This window comes from Homo sapiens, chromosome 4 (assembly GCF_000001405.40).
Source record: "Homo sapiens chromosome 4, GRCh38.p14 Primary Assembly".
Taxonomy (NCBI): Eukaryota; Metazoa; Chordata; class Mammalia; order Primates; family Hominidae; genus Homo; species Homo sapiens.
Window position 1 is genome coordinate 146,506,669 of NC_000004.12, and position 23,334 is coordinate 146,530,002.

Below are 23,334 nucleotides of genomic sequence, written 5' to 3' on the forward strand. Positions count from 1 at the left end.
TTTTCATGGTTACCATTGTAGTTCATTCAAATTTAGCTTCTGTGTTTTAAACCAGTCATTCTGGTGTTTTTGTTTGTTTGTTTGGTTTTTTTTTGTTTTTGTTTTTGTTTTTGCTGGCTCTCCTGCCATCTTTTCAATCTTATTTTCAATCTTTAGGAATACTTTCAAGTTTATATTTTTTAGCCCTAACTACAATTCCCGAATTTGTAGCTGCCTATGACTGCCACTCTAAACTAAGCATGTCTAATATTGTATTTATATATTTGTTTTCCAAATTTATTGAGGTATAATTGACAAGGAAATATTATAAAAATTTATGGCATACAACATGATGTTTTGACATGTGTATACACTGTGAAATCATTACCACAATCAAACTAATTAACATATACATCTACTCTCTTGGCAATTTTCTAGTATACGTTATTAACTATAGTTACCATGCTGTACAATAGATCTTCAGAAAGAATTCATATGTTTTCTGAAAAATAAACTTCCCCTCTGAATTTACATATTTTTTTTGATCAATGGGACCAGTTTTTTCCCTAATGATCCAGTTTGAAACTTTGAAGTTATATGTGACTCCTCTTGCTCCTCAAAAATCAATCTGTGGCTGGGCGCAGTGGCTCACGCCTTTAATCCCAGCACTTTGGGAGGCTGAGGTGGGCGGATCACGAGGTGAAGAGATTGAAACCATCCTGGCCAACATGGTGAAACCCTGTCTCTACTAAAAATACAAAAATTAGCCGGGCATGGTGGCGGGCACCTGTAATCCCAGCTACTCAGGAGGCTTGAGGCAGGAGAATCACTTGAACCCGGGAGGCAGAGGTTGCAGTGAGCTGAGATTACGCCACTGCACTCCAGCCTGGTGACAGAGTGAGACTCTGTCTCAAAAAATAAAAATAAAAATAAAAATAAATCAATCTGTCACCATAACTAACTTTCCAGTTTCCTCCATGACTACTGCCACCATCATCCCTGTCCAGATGCTTCTCAGCCAATCTGGACACTTAAAAAGGCCTATTCAATGTTCCCTCTACCTCACTCTGTCCCTTTACTATGCAAGGTAAGGAGCATGTGCTCAGAACATCTTTATTTCAACAACTTAAACATGATTATGCAATCCCTTCAAGTTAATATACTAAGTATGTACTTTCAAATTAGGGAGGGGAAGGGAAAAAACACTAAGCCAGGAAGAGCTTTCTCTAAGTGAATTACGGTAAGTGTACACTCCTTTAAGTTCAACATCTTGAAGTCAGAATTGTTTGTTTTATTTAGCATATTGAGAGTCCAAGCTGTCCAATTAATCTTCCTTAGTAGCCACTTTTAAACATGTTGTTATTCGCTTGTTGAGCATTTTTAACAGCTCTCTCTCCATCATCTATAGCTTCAAATGCAAATTCCTCAGCCCAGTAATTCAGGCCTTCTGCAAGCCGACCCTATGGAAATATTTTATCTTTGTATCTCATTAATGCCGCATTTTTGAAATCTCTACGAGTACCCAACCTTTGCTGAACTGCTTATTCTTTAACTGATTACACCACTCATCTGAAAAATCACATGGTGCCCCATTTTAGTGATTACTAGGAGGCATACATATATATGTCCTTTATAACCAACTAGGTTGGAAGTTCCCAGAAGACAACAAAAATGAGTAAATATCTTTGTATTCCTTGAGTGGCCTACACATGGCAGATATTCAGTAACTATTGGTTCTTGATATGCATAATACATTTTTGCTCTAAAATGATGTCATCATATTTATGTGGCATTTTACACTTTTTGGTGAAATTTTATGTTCATTCTCTGAAACTAAATCTGGCCAAAATGGCACTCTTGATTTCCACCATGCCTCCTAACCTAGTTTTCCCCTCTTAAGTAAATGATGCTACCAATTACCCAGTGGTTCATACCTAAAACCCAGAAGTCACGCTTGGTTCCTCTGTCCTCCTTCTACATCCTCCTCACCCATCACTGCTGAAAGCTCTACTGTAAAATCTATCTGGCACACATTCATTCCTCTCTATTGAACTGCTACCTCACCACTACTCTCTGAGTTGATTTCTCTCAGGCCCCTCTACTATCTCTTCTACACATAGCTATCAGAAGAATCATTTGCAAACATAAATCAGACCACATCACTCTCTCATTCCAATCCCTCCAGTAGCTTCCTGTAGCACTCAGAATAAAATCTGAATGCTGTACCACGGCCTATAAGGCTCTACATACCTCATTCCTGCCTACTTTTATACCGCTAGGACATGGTATTTTTCCTCTACATCACCAGGCTCTGGCCTTCCTGGCTGCTTTACTGACTGGAAAACACAACAGGCTTGATCCTGCCCTAGAGCCTTTGTACATTATGTTTCCTTTCCCTAGAACATTCTGCCCCCAGAACTCTGAAATCTAAATTAATCAAAAGCCTGCCCACCCAACCACTTTCACATATCTCACTGTTTTGTTCTTTTTACATCATTTATCTCTATCTTGCTCATCTACTTACTTGTTTATTGATACAACACCCCCTGAGACTCCCCAACATGCAAAACTAACAGGCATTTCACTGTTGTTTCTCCAATATGTATAATAACTCCTGAAACAAAGTAGAAGCTAAATAAATAACTTGAATCAATGAATATGCAATTTCAATTGATATCCCCAACATCATTGGTAAGTAAGCAGTAAAAGTACGATTATCCTCCTTTTCTAGACAGGGAAATTGACATTAAAAACTATTTAAAAACTTTGCTCAAAGTCACATAGTATGTTAGGGATATGGTCAGAATTCAATCTTCAGGCTCTAAGTTCAACTATTATATCAAACATAAAACAATGAAAAGGTAACGTTTGTCCCACATATATGTATGTTTTCTTCCTTAAACATTTCTAAAACACACATTATACTCAGCTATTATCTAATTAATTGACATCCAATTGACTTGCATACAGATCTTACATCTGCTAGTCCTTCTCATTTTTCTTCCAAGACCACTCTAAAATTCTCAGAAAAGTGCTCGTCGTAAAACCACAGGATGAAGCATGAGGGTGTATCTTAAGATTCTGTTAATTATTTGATGAACCTCCTTGATGAAATACTATTGTTTTAAAGGAAAACAAAGATGTGTTTTTACTTCCTTTTAAGATGGTACACATAAGCCCTTTTGTATATAGTTGCCATAGAAACAATAATGTCTCTAGAGATGCCCCATTAAAAGTGGACCCACTTTTAAAGATTTAAACATACCCTTTTAAAAGCCATTCGTTGATGGGTGTGATTGATAAAAGCTGAAGAAAAAGCCATATTGTTGCTGGGAAGAATGCAAGAGTAAAGATCTGAATAAAAAGATGCAGTTTTAGATGCACCAAAGCACTGGTCAGCTCCTGGAAAAATTAAGGAAACAAAATAAACAAAGGTAAGAAAACTATTCCTGAAAGGAGATCCCTACTAAAATAACATCACATGAGTTAGTTCTTAATTTTGGGTTTTTTCATAGCTAAAATTTTTATCTATAAGTATATGCATACAAGACAGAATGCAAGATAAAAAAGTTACTCATGAAGGCTATAAAGTATTTTTGTTTAAAATTTCTTAAATTTTTTTTTTTTTTTGAGATGGAGTTTTTGCTCGTCGCCCAGGCTGGAGTACAGTGGCGCGATCTTGGCTCACTGCAACCTCCGTCCCCCAGTTTCAAGGGATTCTCCTGCATCAGCCTCCTGAGTAGTTTGGACTACAGGTGCCTGCCACCACCATGCCCTCCTAATTTTTGTATTTTAGTAGGATGGGATTTCACCATGTTGGGCAGAATGGTCTTGATCTCCTGACCTCATGATCTGCCCCCCTCAGCTTCCCAAAGTGCTGGGATTACAGGCATGAGCCACCACGCCTGGCCTAAAATTTTTTAAATGTTCTTATTCTAATTTCTTTACAATACACAATAAGCCCTAACAAATCAGATGTGTAAAACTCTGGACCAGGACTAAGCTAACTATACTTCATACTACTATAGATTTGGGGATTGTTGAACAACGTGCATGTATGTTTACCTACATAAAATAAGAAATCTTTTCAAAAAAACCTTAATAAGACCTATCACATTTCAACCAAATACAGTAATTAACCTCTATTCATTGCACCAAGGCTATAAGTCCTCAATTTGGCAAGATGTTACTGAATCTACAAATTAATACTTTAAAAAATATTTCCCTCAATGATAGTCTCTAATTCCAAATGGCATTTCCTTCCACAGTCTATTCACTAGATTCTTTGTTAACACTAACAGAATACCAGCTTTATGCCATAATCTGAGCTTGTCACTTTACATGTTATCTCACTTAATCCTCACAAGAATCTCAGTAAGTAAATACTATTATCCCTGTTTTACCGATGAAGAAATTGAAGTTGAGGGCTACTATATGGTGAAGATCAGAACTAAATTTTCCGGCATGCTAGCAAACCCATGCCTGCTTCTCCCACTGCTGCCCCAAGAGGGGAAAAAAAAATGCACATTAAACATAAGAAACCAGGCACACGTTATGAGTTTAACAACTAAAAAAGGATAATTAGTTAACCTCTAGGATTCAAATATATATAAACTCACAAATACTTGCATTTGAGTTTATATTGTGTTGAAATAAAAACAAAATGGAAAACTAAAATAAAACTGGAAAGTGCTAGAAAAACTATAGTCCTTTAAAACAAGCAAGTGATCATTAAAACATATTCAACTATGCCAGAGAGTTACTGGTTGTAAGTATAGAACTGCAATGGCCCCTTTGTTCAGGTAAGATGTTCAAGAGATCCTCAGCCTCAGGGACATTAGCCAAAGTTTATCAGTTTAATCAACAGTACGTTAATGCAGACTCATTCGCTCATCACCACATTCTGAGATTAGTCTCATCACTTCCCACTGTCTACTTCCCTGTGTGGAGATACACACAGCAGTTCCTTCCTGTTAGGTCACAAGACATCCCTAAATGACATCTAAAGAATTTCTAGCGATCTGAGTATAATTTAGGACCACTAGAAAACACTCAGCCTACCAGAAGTCATATTAGGTCCTGGGATCAGACCTAAGAGAAAGCAAGCCATCCTTACAGTGAATCAGAATTCTTAGAGCTCTACTCCAGAGAAAACTTGAGCACCAGCAGTTCCAGAGAATTCTCAACAGCCTTGAAGCCAAATCTCATTTAAATATACTCAGAGGCATTTGATAAACACTAAACAAATATTAGTATTTTTATTTTTTAAAATACTGTAATGAAATGATTAGCCAGAATACACTAAGGCATTTGCATATACTCTTTTTTTTTTTTTTTTTTTTTGAGATGGAGTTTTGCTCTTGTCATCCAGGCTGGAGTGCGATGGTGCGATCTCGGCTCACTGCAACCACTGCCTCCTGAGTTCAAGCGATTCTCCTGCCTCCACCTCCCAAGTAGCGGGGATTACAGGCGCCCACCACCACACCCAGCTAATTTTTGTATTTTGAGTAGAGATGGGGTTTTGACATGTTGGCCAGGCTTGTCTGGAACTCCTGACCTCAGGTGATCCACCCGCCTTGGCCTCCCCAAGTGCTGGGATTACAGGCATGAGCCCCCGTGCCCGGACTGCATATACTTCTGACAGGAATAAAAAATGGCATAACTTTTCTGAAAATTAATTTGGTAATATATATCAACGACTATATAATTCATATTCTTGGACCCCAGAATTTTATGACTAGGAATTTATCCTAAAGATATAAAAATGTGATTGTAAACATTTATACACAAAATTGATCATCACAGTGTTATCTATTCGAGCAAAATCTGGAAACAAATGTCCAAACATAAGAGAATCATTTAAAAAGTTAAAATCTAATTGGAGTGTTATGAGCTATTAAATACCTTGTTGATGAGAATGCAGGTGTACAGAATCTCTCCCCTACTTTATCAATAGGTGTATAAATTGGCATAACCTATAGAGAGCAACCTGGCAACTCATTCCTTCATTTAAGTAATACTTACTGAGCACCTGGCACCATTCTAGGTACTTGGAATATCTGTTACAACTTAAACTACATATATCATTTGACCTAGCAATTCCACTTCCAGGAATTTATCCTTCACATATGTTTCCAAATATAGGAAATAATATATTTTTATCCTTTGCAACATGTTTGTAATAGCAAAACCTTGTAAATTAACTAAATGTTCATCAATAGAGGACAACAAAAATACATCATGACACATCCGTACAACAGAATACTATTTGATGTACAAAAAAAATGGGCTTATTTATGTGTTGAGATGAAACAATGTACAAGACACATTTTTTAAGTAAAATAAGTTAAGGTGCCAAAGAGTATGAAATACAATCTGTAGGGAAGTAGAATATGCATGTGTATGTTTCACATGGAATATCTCTGGAAAGGTACGCAGAAATTGTTAACATTGTTTGTCTCCAGAGAAGAAAACTGGATAGTTGGTGGAAGAGTGAAAAAAAAAAGACTTATACATATCTTTATACCTTTCAATTCTGAACTATGTAAATAAATCATATGTTCATAAAAGTAAGTAACGTATACATTTTTGTTATACTATATAAAGAAAATATAAATAATATTAAATTACATTAAAAGTATACAATGTTACATGAAAAGAATAGGATAAGATTACATGTGTGTATGTGTATAGATCTGCAATATGTGTATAAACATACTACATTCACATACAATTTTATTTGTAAAATATTATGCATATAAAACATATTTTTTAAAAAGGACTAAAAAATTGATGTTAATAGTTAATACTAGTCATTTTCAATCTTTCTAATCTTTCTATAAGTAAATACCACTTTTATTACAACAGAAACAAGTTATAAAAACTAAAATGTGCTTAGAAAATACTGCTGACCTAATAAATGACAATTAGAAATTGCCATTGCATCAGAATGATGGTACAGTAAAGAACCCAGCAAAACAAGTCACAACAACCAACCATGTTGGCTCATAAGGGGCCTCTTAACAATAGGGAAGCGCTTCTAAGAAAGAGTTTCAAGACTTTCACAAAATCCCAGCATCATATATTTTCCATATCTTCTGCATACAACCATAAAGATAAAACAAGGTAATAAAAGAAAATAACAAGCAAGTAAACCCTGTAAATTCCAAAATAGTTATTATTCCATACATACCCATGTAGAATTTTGAGCCACATAGTCAAATAAATGCCATCATGAATAATCAAAAAGTTGGCTCTGCATCATAGTTTGTTTATTCATATGTAATAAGGTCAAAATCCATTAAAATAAACTTAAGAAGACACTCCACATCATTTACTGATTATACCAGAGTCTCATTGACAGCATCAAGCATTGCTTAAAACCAGGGCTCTAATTGGGACGTAGAAATATTTTCATTAGACACCGATTTCTCTTGTAACCCTTTATCTGACCATCTCATTCATTTGCTGAGAGTCAGGCTCATAGCTCTGGGCTTGAAACAAACAGCACACATCTAAAGTTTAGAGTTTGCTATATTTGCTTTTCTGCTAATAGGATAAAAGATAATAATTTTTACAGAAAAATAAAAGCCTGCATCTTCTGCCCTACTCAGGACCTTTTCTCAGCCCCTAAGTCTCCTGCTCACCTTTGTTTCTATCCCCAGCACCGTGCCTTGTGGCCATAAGCACTTAATTGATACTTGTTTAAACAAATTCGCCCTGCCACAGTCGGCTAAGTGACAAAGCCTCTGAAACTACAGGTTTGAAGTGAACTAAATATGAATTTTAAATGTAACCATATTTCACTTCAATACAACAAAATTTCAAAAAACTAGAAGTTGTCATAAAACTGAAGACTCAGCATTGCATTAGCACAGTGTCCTTTATAATTTTAACAAATTACTAAAACAAATTTTAGAATACATGTCATTAAATCAATGTATGAGTCATATAAGAAATGTTCAATATAAATCAAACTTGAATGGGACCAACACAAATGCTTCCAAATAAACTCAAGTCAATAATAATTCACTGTCTCTTGTATGCAAAAATGAACTATTTTAGGACCTAATAAGACATATAAATCGTAATCCCCACTGAAATGAATTTAGGATTACTAACTAGTAAACAAATATGACTGCTACCTCCTAAGTTACAAGTTAACCATGAAATTAGCAGGCTTTAGAAGTGGTTTAATATTACACAATGATACAATCTAGGACATCTTAAGTTATATGGCTTTTGAAAATGACTTAATGTTGTATTCTTTTGAAAAGGGCTTTTGATGGAAGAAATGGCTTTGATTGCTGCTTAGATACCACGATAAAGCACGAGATCACGGCATTTCATTAGATCCAAATTAGCTGGATGACTCTGAAGGTTTCTTAGGTGCTTACAAAAGAAGTCAGTCCTTAGAGAAATGCTGACAGCTGTGGCATTCTTCCTTCTTCAACTCCTGCATCCCACAAAGTTGGCTGCTTCGCAGAATCGCATTAAGTAAGAAGCTAAGGAGTGAGAGAAATCAAGTTGCTTTCTGGATTTCCCATGGCACAAGTAACAGCTGTAGCCATTAAGCAGCCACCAGGGGACATAGAGCAACGCCCCAAGTAAAGGACTTGGGTTAGAAAGCAGTTCCATAAAGAGCATTAGCCAAGGTCAGCAGGAAGACCTCCAAGCAAGATCAGTCCAACATTATGGTAGTAGCAAATATCTTTCTGTATCACTGTGCCCCACATTTGAGAACAAATATTAGAACTCATATGTTGACAGAAAAAAAGCCTGTGTAAGTAGTAATTATGGTCCTCTCATATCAATATTGTTTACCAAAATTGGAATTTGACATACTAGGAAATCTCATCCCATGTCAGTTATTTTCAGAAAAGCAGGTAATCACAGAAAATATTTACAATTCTTGAGACACAATTTATCAGCTATAGACACTACACAATGATCCTACGTATATCAAAAAATACCCCAATGAGGCCGGGTGTGGTGGCTCATGCCTGTAATCCCAACACTATGGGAGGCTGAAGTGGGTGAATCATTTGAGGTCAGGAGTTCAAGACCAGCCTGGCCAATGTAGTGAAACCCCACCTCTATTAAAAATACAGAAATTAGCCGGGCGTGGTGGTGGGTGCCTGTAGTCCCAGCTATTCAGGAGGCTGAGGCAGGAGAATCACTTGAACCCGGGAGGCGGAGGTTGCAGTGAGCCGTGATCACGCTACTGCCCTCCAGCCTGGGCAACAGAGTGAGATTCCATCTCAAAAAAAAAAAAAAAAAAAAAAAAACCCAATGAAAAGATTTATACCAACCGATGGCTACAGAATACATAAATTTAGTAAAGTCATATTTTTTCCATGTTGCTACTAGGATGATCTAAGAAGGAGATAACTAAATTTAGTCTTCATTCCAATCACACTTAAAATAAATAAAGGTAAGACATGATGCTGGACCAGAATCTTAATTTTTAAAGCCATTTCCAAAAACAAAATACCTTCTTATAGTGAGATAGTCCCATCTATATAAGAACAGGATGTTAGAATGATATTTTATGTAATTTCTTCAAGACCAAATGGGTATTTTCTCCTCTTTTTTTTTCTTCCATTGTAAGTTAAAAGAGAATCATAAATTCTACTCATTCCTCTATCACACGTAAATGTAAAAATGTCTGGATTTCTTTACTTCCAAGAGAATCTCATGTTCAGTGAAACCTGAATCAGTAAATCAGTAAATAACATTACATATATAGGTGTGGGGTGTGTGTGTGTTTGTGTGTGTGTGTGTATACACACACACTTTTGACACATATATGTATGTGTATATGTATATGTGTATATATATACACATATACATATACACATACATATATGTGTCAAATGAAAAACATCAATATTTCTCTTAAGACATCTATTAATATTTAATAGATATGCTAAGGAACAATAAGCTTTTCTAAATAAAAATTAATTAAAAGTTATGACAAATTAAGCATTATTTGAACAGCATGAGTCCTGGGAACCAAAGATGATCCACAAAAGTTATGAAAACCAAACTGAACATCAACAGCTCAAATGTGCCCAGGCATAGCAGGCACCACTGTAGTTACCACCATAAGTTGAGGAAGAACTAAAGTAGATGCTTCAGTTCAGCTGTCATATTAAAAACATACTCATTATAACCACATCCTCAGGGCCCATGCTGCTCAACTGTACAGCTTTTATAATACACATATGTAGGAATGAAACACAAGTCCTTTGCCGACCAAGTTATCTTCTGCTATAGTGAATCCTTCAGATTATAGCTATAAACAGCTTTACCAAAGGACTCTTAAATTTAAGTAAGTACAAATTAAATTTTTCTCCCTGCTTTTCATGTGTCCCATAGATGACAGTACCTCTGTTTTCAATGATAGTCCACTGTTAAAGAATATTGTTGCAACAGCAATGTAGGATACAGTTATTTCTGGCTTCAGTGGTCCTAAAAAGAGAAAAAAGAGTTATTGCTAGAAAAGAATTTCAGTAGATAACTTGGCACAAAAGAAGAATCTATTTGTTCACACCTGTAATCCCAGCACTTTGGGAGGCCGAGGCGAGTAGAGCACTTGAGGCCAGGAGTTCAAGACCAGCCTGACCAACATGGCAAAACCCAGTCTTTACTAAAAATACAAAAATTAGCCGGGCATGGTGGTGCATGCCTGTAGTTCCCAGCTCCTTGGGAGGCTGAGTGGGAGGATTACCTGAGCCCAGGAGGCAGAGGTTGCAGTGAGCTGAGATCACGCCATTGCACTCCAGCCTGGGCAACAAAGCAAGACTCTGTCTCAAAATAATAATAATAATAATAATAACAACAATAATAATCTACTGCAGGACAACAAATGGTACTTTAGATATCAGTGTCACCCCTGGTGTCTTACTGTCCCAACAGAGGTAAGCATTTGTGTGATGCAGCCTAACTCCAGAGAGCATTTTCCAGAGGGCAAGGACCGTGGCTGTCTTGCTCAGCACAGTGTCTTCAGACCAGAAGAATAAAGAAGCACACAGGACAGCATGTAAGCAACATCCTTCAATAGAGGTCCTAATTATATCTATCATGGTATCAGCACTTATATAACAATCAAAATACCCCCGAGCCCAAAGAAGGGAATCAATGGAAGAAGTTCCCTTCTCTTTAGCAAATATTATTTCATTTCTTCTAGGATATCAGAAACAAAAGCTTATAATCACACATGCATTCAGTTCTGCCCAAGAGTATTCATTCTACAAATACTTATTGAGCACTTGCTATGTGAATAAGATAATGCATATAAAGTACTTAATAATATATTGCTATGACCGTAATTATTATTAAATTGTGCTAGGCCCTAGAGATATGTGGTGACCCAGCCAGGCCTGGTCCCTGCCTTCCAGGAAATCCTCTCTGGAGTTAGGATGGCAGCATTCAAATGTGTTAACACTGCGAGAACAATACTTAAAAGTATCATTTGTGAGTGGATATAAGTATCATTTGTGACATGTACACAATTGGCTTGAAGACCTAATGTGCTAACAAAAAACAACATTCTTTCAAAAAATGCAGTCCTGAGAAAATGACATTTTATACCTATATAGCAGTGGTTCTCCAGCAGTAGAAATCTTACCCTCCATGGACATTTGAAAATGTTTAGAAATGTTTTTTGGTTGTCATAACTTGGGGGATAGGATGTGCTACTAACATCTAGTGGGTAGAGATCAGGAATTCTATTAAACATCTTGGAAGGCATAGAACAGCCCCTCCAACAACAAAAATTATCATGTTCAAAATGTCAATGTGCCAAGGCTGAGAAATCTTGGTACATGGCAACATTTAAAAACCTAAGATCATCTCATATTTGGCATCCTATTCAGTCTTCTTGTACTAGATTAAATAGTGTCCCCCGACTCCCAAAATTCATGCCCACCCAGAACCTGTGAATGTCACATTTTTGGAAATAGGGTCTTTGCAGATGTAATCAAGTTAAGATGAGGTCTTATTGGATTAGGAGGGACATTAATCCAATAACCGGTATTCTTAAAAGATGGAAATTTGGACACAGACACATGCACAAGGAAGATAGCCATGTGATGACAGAGGTGGAGGCTGGAGTTATATTGCCACAAGCCAAGGAACGGCTGGCAACCACCACAAGCTAGAAGACTCAAAGGATTCTTTCCCAGATGTCCTTTGGAGGACATCTTGACCTCAGACTTCTGGCTTCTAGAACTGTGAGATAATAAATTTCTGTTGTACTGAGCCACCTGGTTCATGGTAATTTGTTGTGGCAGCCCTAAGAAACTAATACACTCACTTAAGCAAAACAACAGGACAACAATCACGGCTCCTCCATAGCCTGAAACCCTCCACTTGTTCGATATATGGACAGAAGACCAAGCTCAGGAAAAATCACCATATATATATATATATATATATATATATATATATATATATATATATAATATAATATATAATTAATATATATTATGTATATAACATAATATATAATATATGATACAATAATGTACATAATATATAATATACATAATATCTCAAGGCCCCTCTGAGAGAGAATATATATTATATATAATAATATATTTTATATAATATATAACATATTATATACAATATATAACATAATATATAATATGATAATATATAATACATTATTTAACATAATATATAATATTATCTATATATAGAGAGAGATGACCTACTATGTCTTAGGCATTTGTAGTACAACAATGAATAAAAGAAACAAAGATTTCCTCAAATGCTGTAATAAATTATTTAATATGCCTGGCATTTACACAAATCATTTTGCTGAGATCTAAGAAAAGGGAAAGAAAGGGAGAAGGCAAGTGCAAAAGGCATTGCATTTGGGGGCAGTGAAGGCTGCTCAAAAACTTTTATAAGAGGTACATTATCTTTATATTTGTTAGTGAATCTGTCTCAGCAGCTCACACAGGTAATATTTCTTCAGCAGCTAAGCAAGGTGATTCAGGAGCAGATTTTAAAGTCAAGGAATCTGGCTTGCTTGGGAAGTAGAAGTTTCCCAGGAATTTTAAATACCCTGGTCTCCAATAGTTCCTCTTCCCTAAGCTAGCTACCTTAACCTAGAGAGAGTCACCTGGTATCTTCAACTGTAAAAGAAGCATGTTGGCTTAAAACACTTTAAATATTCCCCTCCCCCTCTTAACATTCTATTATAATTAAACAAAGGAATGAATTATCCTACATTAAAGACAGAAGGACTAGTGGAAATGGGAAATGGCATTTCTATGATACAATAATGTACCAAAATATTAATAAGCAGAGTCTATGGAACACATAAGTTTGCAGAATCTATCTCATACATGCCACTGCAGAAAAGCCCCACGGAAATGATTCAGCATTCAACACCTTTCTTCCCACAGAATATTTAGGAATGCAAGGTAAAAGATATTTTGCCAAACTTAGCCCCTGCAGATTTAAAGTTAAAGATCATACATCCTCTGTAATTTCATCTCAAAACTGAGCAAATAAGAGATCTAACACGAGAAGCGATAGCTAGTGAAGTGTGCATTGCAGATCATGCAAAGGTACTCTAAGTCTTACTATTCATTTAGCTCCGGGGATAGGGGGTCTTCATTTGACAGACCTGATCTTCACAAGAGTTTCCCAAAAGTTCACAGAGCAGCAGTGTTAAAGAAGAAACTATTACCATCAATCAGAGGGAGAAACCACCAGGAATAACTGCTTTATTCTCACAGTTACATATTCTACACATTTTGTTCTAAGTTGAATACAGAAGAACAAAATTTTAAAACAAACAATCCTTCATCTCCACAATTTTGGTTTAAATAATTCCTTTTAAAATGTTCCCGGAAGCTACTTCTAAACAGAGTAATGGGGTGGAGGTTAAGGGGAGAAGGGACCACTGCTGTTCTCCTAAGAGATCATTTCATTCACTTCCATCATGTTTTAACAAAAAGATAAAAATAACTTCAAATATCCTCCTGAGCGCTTCCTACTATGAAATATTGTGCCTGTTCACCTCTATCCTTATTTGCTCCGGTTGCATGAGTTAGGTATTAAACCTGTCAATAAGCTTGGAAACTGACAAACAAGGTCAAAAAGACAAGCGAATTGAATAAATTCAATTAATGTTTATGAAAAGTAGTACAAGATTGTCTAAAGGTGTTGGGGGGGGCATAAAAAACTAATATTTCTAATGTTCCCACCAGTGCCCATCATCTCCTGTACAAAGCTCCCACTATTCAGAGATCTAAGTATGCTTTCAGTCCATCCACATTTCCTTGCCAAAACACACACTACACTACACTACACATAGTCTAACAGTCTGTATCTGTTAGACTGCTAGTATAGCAACTGAATCCCGGCAGCACACGGAAGTATGCTGTAATGAAGTGTCCTGTAATCAAAGAGTGCAACGTGTCAGTCGGCTTGGGAGTTTCTGGAGCACCAGCAACTACAGCAAATCATCACTCTCCAACATGTGGGCCATAAAATCTGAGTTGGGGGCGGAGGTGTCCCTTTTCTTGTTTTTCCTCCACTTTTTTTTTTAATGTGGGGGCGGGGAGGACTCGAAAGTAGACTCGATAATGAGGTCCACTCCAAGATAGATACGGAACTCTTAGCAACCTAGATTCCCTTGGGATAGGATGCTACTTTGAAGGCAAGAGGAGTAAGTTTCATTCTCTGTAACCTCACTTCTTGACACTCAGGATAGTCATTGTTTGTCTACGGAAAAGGCTACCTGCCCTCAAATTCCTTTGCCTCGTTCCTAATTACAAGTTCCCTCTGGGGTTGGTAAATTAGAAAATCAGCAAAAGGGCCAAAGGCTGGTCAGTGCCCCCTGAAATTGGCAAGCGCTTGCAATGAGGGTTGCCCCACCTTTCCAAGACTCACAAATTAGTTCTGAAGTGGGAGCCGCGGTGGAGCCGGCAGAGGTGCAGCACTTACCCCCATTCACCCCTATGGACGGCTCCAGTTTAGCTCCAGCGATCGCCAGCACTATTCCGACCATGAACCAGTCTTTCCTCATTCTCTCCAGCAGCCTCATATTTGTTAGGGTGGGTGGGTTTTGTTTATTTGTTTGGCTTTTTTTCTTTTCAAGCTCCGATCACCTAATCCTTGGAGCGTCTCCACACTTTCCTTGGTCCCTCCAGACATGCAGCAGAGCAAGTCAAATTGCCGATTGTAAAGTAAAGACCTGGGGGTTGCTCCGGCGGCTTTGAGGAGGGTTGGGAGTAGTAGTAGCCAGTGACAGGAAAGTCTCACTGAGCGCCGCCATCACTACCACGCGCCTCAGAATACACGCGCACAAACGCCCCCAGCGCCTCTGGCCGCGGGCTCGCAGGTGCAGATGCTTTGAAATGAAGAACTCGGACCAGGCCGACAACGTGGGCGATCCGGCAAGGGAGGCTGGCCGCCGGATGGGGCTGACAAGCGCACCGCTGTCGAGACCTGCGGAACCTTCTGAATGACGAGGGGTCGGGGAGAGCGTCGTAAGGCGCCACAGCCAGCAAGCCTCACTGACTGTCCTTTTCTAACAAACCTTTAGGCACAGCCACCCACCCTTCTGGAGCATATCTCCATGGAGAGCCTCTCTTTTGCTGTGCCATGACTCCGCGGGCAGGGCTGACGTGTGCTTGGGGCAAGGGATTTCTCCGTTGAAGCTGCGGCAGCGGGGTGCAAGTTTGGAGACGCGCTTCTTCGGGACATTACGGCGCTTCCACGACGCTAGCGCTGACGTATGCGCGGGGGGGAGGGGAGGCCACTCTGGATCTCCGAGTTCCCAGCCTGAGCTGCCGGAGTTAGAGGTGTCCGCGCGGGAAAGTGGCTCGCTGGTGGGCGGGGAGCCTTATCTCTGGCGGTGGGTTGAAAATCCGGCGCCGGGCAGATGCCCACGTTCGCTGGACCCCTGCTTGCCGGCGTCCGCTACAACCCAAGGAAGGTGGGCCCGACCTCGCCAGGTCGCTCGCCTGCGGGTGGGCATTTGGTCCGGATCCCCTTCCCTCTGCGGCCCACACCTGTCTCCGGGACTGGGGAGGGCTGCAGGGATCGGGGCAGATCTGCCTTTGCGGGCCGAGAGTGACAGCTGAAGTCTCCCCACCAACTAAGCTACTCGCGGGCGGAGTGGGGTCTGCGCTGGCAAGCCCCTGGGCGCGCGGGTGCCCGCTCTGGCTCGCCCCCAGGGCTGACCTACCCAAGCCACAGGAAAACTCTGGGAAGAGGGTCGCGGATTCCAACGCGGAAGTGGTGGGGGATTGAGTCTGAGAGGTTGGGGAGTCCTACCTTCCATTGCCACGAGTGCTAGTTCTATCTGCCAGTTTCTTCCTTGAAATGTCTTGTGGCAACCAGTGACATTGATGGTTTCATGAATGGACTTCCTACCGGTAGACCCTGCAAGAGCATGAACTCCACTGTATCATTCATCCAAATGAAGAAAGAAAGAAAATAGTATGTGATATTTTGAAATAACCTGGCATCTGCCACTTAAATGGTTAAAAATAGAACTTAAGGTTTGGAAGAGATTGTTTCGTGATGACAGACTTTAATTCTGAATTTATTCAAAGCTGGAAAGACACTCGTCGTGTCATTTCCTCTATTTAATTTAGCTTTATCTTGATGGCAAGACTTCCAGAAACTAAGCCACTTTAAGAGTTGTGCTCCCAGTTGTAGGTTACACAGTACCAAGTGTCATCTAATTATACATCAGGCAACATGAAAAAAAATTAATTTCAAGATAAAAAGAACTTAACAGGGAGACATAGATGACATTAAGCAGTTTACTCTGAAAAGAGACAGGTACATGAAATATAAAATTTGATGTTAGTTGTCAGGCAGTCAGAAGATAAGTGAAGATAAATGAAAGATAGTTTACAACATAATTATTTTCTTATAGTAATTTCTTAGTAGGTTAAAGAGTCATACGTCTCAGTCATTGAAGGGATAGTTTTGTATTAAAACATCATTAAACATTAAGTTTACAGAAATTGAGCTGTTTTAACTGTACAGCTATTCACAAATTATTTACTAATACCTCTTTGATCTGTGTAGAGCAGAATCTAACTCAGAGATTTTTTTGTTCTGTTTTTAATGGTACTTAAAGGAAAAGAATATAATGTACCATGAATTATATTCTCTTAAGGCCTGTATTTGTTTGCTGTGGATGCTGAAACAAATACTCGAACTTGGATGCCTTCAAACAACAGAAATTTATTATCTCACAGTTCTGGAGGACAGAAGTCCAAAATCAAGATTTTGGCAGAGCCATACTCCCGCTGAAGGCTCTAGGGGAGAGTCCTTCCTTGCCTTTTCTAGTTTCTGGTGGTGCCTTCCTTGGCTTGTAGCTAGAGTGTTCCAATCTCTGCCACTGTTTTCACATCACATTCCCCTCTGTATTTCTTTCTAGTGGCCACATTATTCTAGTTTCTGCATCCATCTTCACGTTGCACCTCCTTTTCTGTGTATCTTTTATAAAGACACTTGTCATTGGATTTAGGGCCTACCCAGATAATCCAAAATGATCTCTCAAGAGCCTTAACTCAATCACAGTAGTCCCCCCTTATCCTGAAAGGATACATTCCAAGAACCTTAGGTAGATGCCTGAAACTGCTGGTTGTACTGAACCCTATCTATATATGCTATGGTATTTTTTCTTATACATACATTCCTATGATGATAATTTTTGGTTTATATTATTAGGCACAATAAGAGATGAACAATAATTAATACAGTCAGGCATTGCTTAACCACCGGGTTACATTCTGAGAAATGTATGGTTAGACGATTTCATCATTAGAGAAACATCATAGAGTGTACTTACACAAACCTAAATAATGTAGTGTACAACACACCTAGACTATATGGTATAGCCTATTGTTCCTAGGCTGCAAACCTATACAGCATGTTACTATACTGAATACTGTAGGCAGTTGCAACACAGTGGTATTTGTGTATCTAAACATATCTAAACATAGAAAAATTACAGTATAAGAGGTTTTTTTTTTTAATGGAGTCAGGAGTAGTGGTGTGTGCCTCTAGTCCCAGCTACTTCGAGAGGGTGAGACGGGAGACTCACTTGAATCCAGGAGTTTGAGGCCAGTCTGAGTAACATAACAAGATTCCATTCCTTTAAAAAAAAAATCGTGGTATACCTGTATAGAGCACTTACTATGAATGGAGCTTGTAGGACTGGAAGTTGTTCTGGGTGGGTCAGTGAGTGAGTGGTGTATGAATGGAGCTTGTAGGACTGGAAGTTGTTCTGGGTGGGTCAGTGAGTGAGTGGTGAATGAATGTTAAGGCCTAGGACATTACACTATTGTAGATTTTATAAATACTATACTTGGGCTACATTTAATTTAACAGTTTTTAAATTCAGTAATAACTTACTGTAACTTTTAACTTTATAAACTTTTTAATTTTTTTACTTTTTGACTCTTGTTATAGCACTTAGCTTAAAACACATCATACAGCTGTCCAAAATATTTTCTTTATATTCTTATTCTATAAGTTTTTTCTATTTACATTTTTGTTTTTACTTTCCTAAACTTTTTTTAAAAAAAAAACTAAGACACACACATATTGGCCTAGGCCTGCACATGGTCAGGATCATCAATATCACTGACTTCTACCTCCACATCTTGTCCCTGTAGAAGATCTTTAGGAGCAGTAACCTATGTAGAGCAGTCATCTTATATGATAACAATGCCTTCTTCCAGAATACCTCCTGAAGGACCTTCCTCAGTCTCTTTGGGAGATGTTGCTCTTTTCAGAAATATGCCTATGGTGTTTTGCCTGATTTATTTCTTTCATCATAGATTTGCATAAATAATGTGTCACATTATGACATTACAATAACTACATTTTCACTAGATAATAGGAATTTTTCAGCTTCATTATAGTCCTTTTTTTTTTTTTTTTTTTAAGAAAGCAGGTCTCACTCTGTCGCACAGGCCTGAGTGCAGTGGTGCGATCATAGCTTACTACAGCCTTGAGCTCCTGGGCTCAAGTGATCCCGCCTCAGCTTCCCGAGTAGCTGGGACCACAGGTACACACTGCCACACCCAGCAGCTTCATTATAGTCTTATGGGATCACTGTCTTGACCAGAACATCATATGTAGCACATGACTAATAAAATAGAACAATTAAGTTTAAAAAAATAGGGGGATTACTTGAACATAAGCAGTGTGATACCACAACAGTATCTGATAACCAAGATGGCTACTAAGTGACTAAGGACAGGTAGTGTCTACAGTGTGGATATGCTGGACAAAGGAAGGATTTATGTCCTGGACAGTGCAAGATTTTATCACACTACTCAGAACAGCTTACTGAGGAGAGAAGCCATTTCTCTTACTGTCTCCTCTCTCTGAAGAGGAGGAGGAAGTAAAAGTTGAAAAACAACAGGAATGAAGTCAGTGGCAAGACCAGCTGGTGCCACTGATGACCCGGCCTGAGGTTAAAAGATTAACCCCCGCCCCCACCCCCCACTCTAACCACATGTGCTCTCAATCCATCATGACCCTTTCACGTGGAACCCCTTAGAGTTGTAAGCCCTTAAAAGGGCCAGGAACTCTGTCTTTGGGGAGCTCGGCTCTTAAGACGCGAGTCTGCCGACGCTCCCGGCCGAATAAAAACCTCTTGCTTCTTTAATCCAGTGTCTGAGGAGTTTTGTCTGCAGCTTGTCCTGCTACATTTCTTGGTTCCCTGACTGGGAATCAAGGTGATTAACGGAAGGTCAAGGCAGCCCTTTAGGCTGCTTAGGGCTGCCCTGTGGAACATCCCTGCGGGGGATTCTGACCAGCTCCAGTGTTGCAGATCCTGAGAGCGCTCCCAGGGAGGCAATTGCCCTGGTGGAACACCTCGTCAGAGCAGTGCATGACAGGCCCTCATGGAGGATCAACGCAGTGGCTGAACACCGGGAAGGAACTGGCACTTTAAGTCTGGACATCTGAAACTTGGTAAGACTGGTCTCTGGAACTTGCCCACTCCATTTGAGTGGAAGCGTGGCCTGATCACCCATGGCGTGCCTGTACCAGCACTTTGGTTCTTGTTTTTGACTTGAGTTGAATTGCTTGATACTTTGGTTTTGGTTTTGACCTGGCATGGATTTCTGGATACTCCGATTTTGGTTTTGATTCTGGTCTGGTGTAAACTGAAGTGTGTGTGTGCCCTTTTTACCGGTTCTTTGTTCTGTGGTGTGTGTGTGGTGTGAGCGTGGTGTTTTGTCTCGAGGAGACATGGGTCAGACACAAAGTAAGCCCACTCCGCTAGGAACTGTGTTGAAAAATGTCAAGGAAAGATTTAGTGGAGACTATGGGGTTACTATGACACCAGGGAAACTTAGAACTTTGTGTGAAATAGATTGGCCAACATTAGAAGTGGGTCGGCCATCAGAAGGAAGCCTGGACAGGTCCCTTGTTTCTAAGGTGTGGCACAAGGTAACTGGTAAAGGATACCTAGACCAGTTCCCATACATAGACACTTGGTTACAGCTGGTGCTAGACCCCCCACAGTGGCTAAGAGGGCAGGCAGCAGCAATGCTAGTAGCAAAGGGACAGATAGCCAAGGAAGGATCCCACTCCACCCGCCCAGGGAAATCAACTCCTGAAGTTCTGTTCAACCCAACATCAGAAGATCCATTGCAGGAGATGGCACCAGTGATCCCAGTGGTGTCCTCCCCTTACCAGGGGAAGAGGCTCCTCATTCTAGAGCCCACAGTGCTTGTGCCTCCGCAAGACAAACATATCCCTAGGCCACCCAGGGTAGACAAGAGAGGAGGTGAAGACTCGGGAGAAACCCCTCCCTTGGCAGCTCGTCTACGACCCAAAACTGGGATGCAAATGCCCCTGAGAGAGCAGCGGTATACTGGGATAGATGAGGATGGTCACATGGTGGAGAGGCGTGTTTTTGTGTACCAGCCCTTCACCTCTGCCGATCTTCTCAACTAGAAAAACAATACCCCGTCCTATACCGAAAAGCCACAAACTCTAATTGATTTGTTCCAAACTATTATCCAGACCCACAACCCCACCTGGGCTGATTGCCACCAGTTGCTCATGTTCCTCTTTAACACAGATGAAAGGCGGAGAGTGCTCCAAGCAGCAGCTAAGTGGCTAGAGGAACATACACCAGCTGATTACCAAAACCTGCAAGAGTATGTAAGGACCCAATTACCAGGAACCGACCCCCAGTGGGACCCAAATGAAAGAGAGGATATGCAAAGGCTAAATCGATACAGGGAAGCTCTCTTGGAGGATTAAAGAGGGGAGCCCAGAAGGCCACAAACGTTAACAAGGTCTCTGAGGTCATTCAGGGAAAAGAAGAAAGTCCAGCACAATTCTACGAGAGACTGCGTGAGGCCTATCGTGTGTATACTCCCTTTGATCCCGATAGCCCTGAAAATCAGCGCACGATTAACATGGCTTTAGTTAGTCAAAGTACAGAAGACATTAGAAGAAAACTGCAGAAACAGGCTGGGTTTGCAGGGATGAATACATCACAGTTAGAAATAGCTAATCAGGTGTTTGTAAACAGGGATGCAGTAAGCCCTAAGGAAAACCACAAAGAGAATGAACGTCAGGCCCGGCGAAACACCAACCTGTTAGCTGCAGCAATCAGAGGGGTCCCCCCAAAGAGGCAAGGGAAGGGGGGCCCTGGGAAAAAAACTCAGCTTGGCTGTCAGAGTTTGCAGCGTAACCAGTGTGCTTATTTTAAAGAAATAGGACATTGAAAGAACAAATGCCCTCAGCTAAAAAGAAAACAAGGTGACTCAGAGCAGGAGGTCCCAGACAAGGAGGAAGGGGCCCTGCTCAACCTGGCAGAAGGGTTATTGGACTGAGGAGGATCAGGCTCAAGTGCTCCCAAAGAGACTATGGTCAGAATGATAGTCGGGGGTAAAGACATTGATTTTCTTGTAGATAACCTTGCTGAACATTTGGTAGTAACCGCCCTGGTCACCCCCTTATCCAAAAAGACTATTGACATCATTGGAGCCACGGGGGTTTCAGCAAAGCAAGCTTCCTGCTTGCCCCGGACTTGTACTGTAGGAGGACATAAAGTGATTCATCAGTTTTTGTACATGCCTGACTGTCCCTTGCCCTTGTTGGGAAGGGACTTGCTTAGCAAGCTGAGAACCACTATCTCTTTTACAGAGCACAGCTCTTTGCTGCTAAAGTTACCCAGAACAGGAGTCATTATGACCCTTATGGTCCCCCAAGAAGAGGAATGGAGACTTTTCTTAACTGAGCCGGGCCAAGAGATAAGACCAGCTCTGGCTAAGCGGTGGCCAAGAGTATGGGCGGAAGACAACCCTCCAGGGTTGGCAGTCAACCAAGCCCCCTACTTATAGAAGTTAAGCCTGGGGCCCAGCCGGTTAGGCAAAAACAGTACCCGGTCCCCAGAGAAGCTCTTAAAGGTATCCAAGTCCATCTCAAGCACTTAAGAACTTTTGGAATTATAGTTCCTTGTCAATCTCCATGGAACATTCCCCTCCTGCCTGTTCCCAAGCCAGGGACCAAGGACTACAGGCTGGTACAGGATTTGCACTTGGTTAATCAAGCTACAGTGACTTTACATCCAACAGTACCTAACCCGTACACATTGTTGGGGTTGCTGCCAGCTAGGACAGCTGGTTCACCTGCTTGGACCTAAAAGACACTTTCTTTAGTATCAGATTAGCCCCTGAGAGCCAGAAGCTCTTTGCCTTTCAGTGGGAAGATCCGGAGTCAGGTGTCACTACTCAGTACAATTGGAGCCAGCTACCCCAAGGGTTCAAGAACTCCCCCACCATCTTCGGGGAGGCATTGGCTCGAGACCTCCAGAAGTTTCCCACCAGAGACCTAGGCTGTGTATTGCTCCAGTACGCTGATGACCTTTTGCTGGGACACCCCACGGCAGTCGGGTGCACAAAGGGAACGGATGCCCTACTCCAGCACCTGGAGGACTGTGGGTATAAGGTGTCCAAGAAAAAAGCTCAGATCTGCCAACAGCAGGTACGTTACTTGGGATTTACTATCCGACAGGGGGAGTGCAGCCTGGGATCAGAAACAAAGCAGGTTATTTGCAATCTACTGGAGCCTAAGAGCAGAAGGCGGGTGAGAGAATTCTTAGGAGCTGTGGGGTTTTGTAGACTGTGGATCCCAAACTTTGCAGTATTAACCAAGCCTTCGTATGAGGTCACAAGATGGGGGGACTGGGAACCTTTTGAATGGGGATCCCAACAACAGCAAGCCTTTCATGAGTTAAAGGAAAACTTATGTCAGCCCCAGCCCTGGGGCTACCCGATCTGACAAAGCCTTTTACATTGTGTGTGTCAGAGAGAGAAAAGATGGCAGTTG

At 40.3% G+C, this 23,334-nt stretch overlaps 1 protein-coding gene across 17 annotated transcripts in view, besides 5 other annotated features; it reads right to left on the reverse strand.

Moving 5' to 3' along the window:
- SLC10A7 (solute carrier family 10 member 7) overlaps nucleotides 1-15,272 on the reverse strand; it is a 267,960-nt gene extending 252,688 nt beyond the window's left edge. For 12 of the 17 annotated variants that reach the window (XR_007057973.1, NR_133924.2, XR_001741332.3 and 9 more), the window contains exons 1-3: nucleotides 14,950-15,272; nucleotides 10,370-10,452; nucleotides 3,245-3,381 (exon numbers count right to left, since the gene is read on the reverse strand). Coding sequence is in view for 12 of the 17 variants with exons in the window: in NM_001317816.2 (NP_001304745.1) it covers nucleotides 3,245-3,381; nucleotides 10,370-10,452; nucleotides 14,950-15,049 (320 nt within the window). In the remaining 5 variants the exon portion in view is untranslated. Of the gene's footprint in view, nucleotides 1-3,244; nucleotides 3,382-7,228; nucleotides 8,484-10,369; nucleotides 10,453-14,949 lie in introns of those variants that run through there. The other 5 variants (XM_017008692.2, XM_047416249.1, NM_001317817.2 and 2 more) reach the window with 3 other exon arrangements.
- Nucleotides 14,400-14,629: an enhancer, noted in NCBI's record as "active region_21993". NCBI's record gives its function as "activates an Ori minimal core promoter by ATAC-STARR-seq in GM12878 lymphoblastoid cells {active_cell/tissue: GM12878}" and the evidence as "EXISTENCE:reporter gene assay evidence [ECO:0000049][PMID:35858748]".
- Nucleotides 15,070-15,139: an enhancer, noted in NCBI's record as "active region_21994". NCBI's record gives its function as "activates an Ori minimal core promoter by ATAC-STARR-seq in GM12878 lymphoblastoid cells {active_cell/tissue: GM12878}" and the evidence as "EXISTENCE:reporter gene assay evidence [ECO:0000049][PMID:35858748]".
- Nucleotides 15,360-15,439: an enhancer, noted in NCBI's record as "active region_21995". NCBI's record gives its function as "activates an Ori minimal core promoter by ATAC-STARR-seq in GM12878 lymphoblastoid cells {active_cell/tissue: GM12878}" and the evidence as "EXISTENCE:reporter gene assay evidence [ECO:0000049][PMID:35858748]".
- Nucleotides 15,450-15,869: an enhancer, noted in NCBI's record as "active region_21996". NCBI's record gives its function as "activates an Ori minimal core promoter by ATAC-STARR-seq in GM12878 lymphoblastoid cells {active_cell/tissue: GM12878}" and the evidence as "EXISTENCE:reporter gene assay evidence [ECO:0000049][PMID:35858748]".
- Nucleotides 16,040-16,119: an enhancer, noted in NCBI's record as "active region_21997". NCBI's record gives its function as "activates an Ori minimal core promoter by ATAC-STARR-seq in GM12878 lymphoblastoid cells {active_cell/tissue: GM12878}" and the evidence as "EXISTENCE:reporter gene assay evidence [ECO:0000049][PMID:35858748]".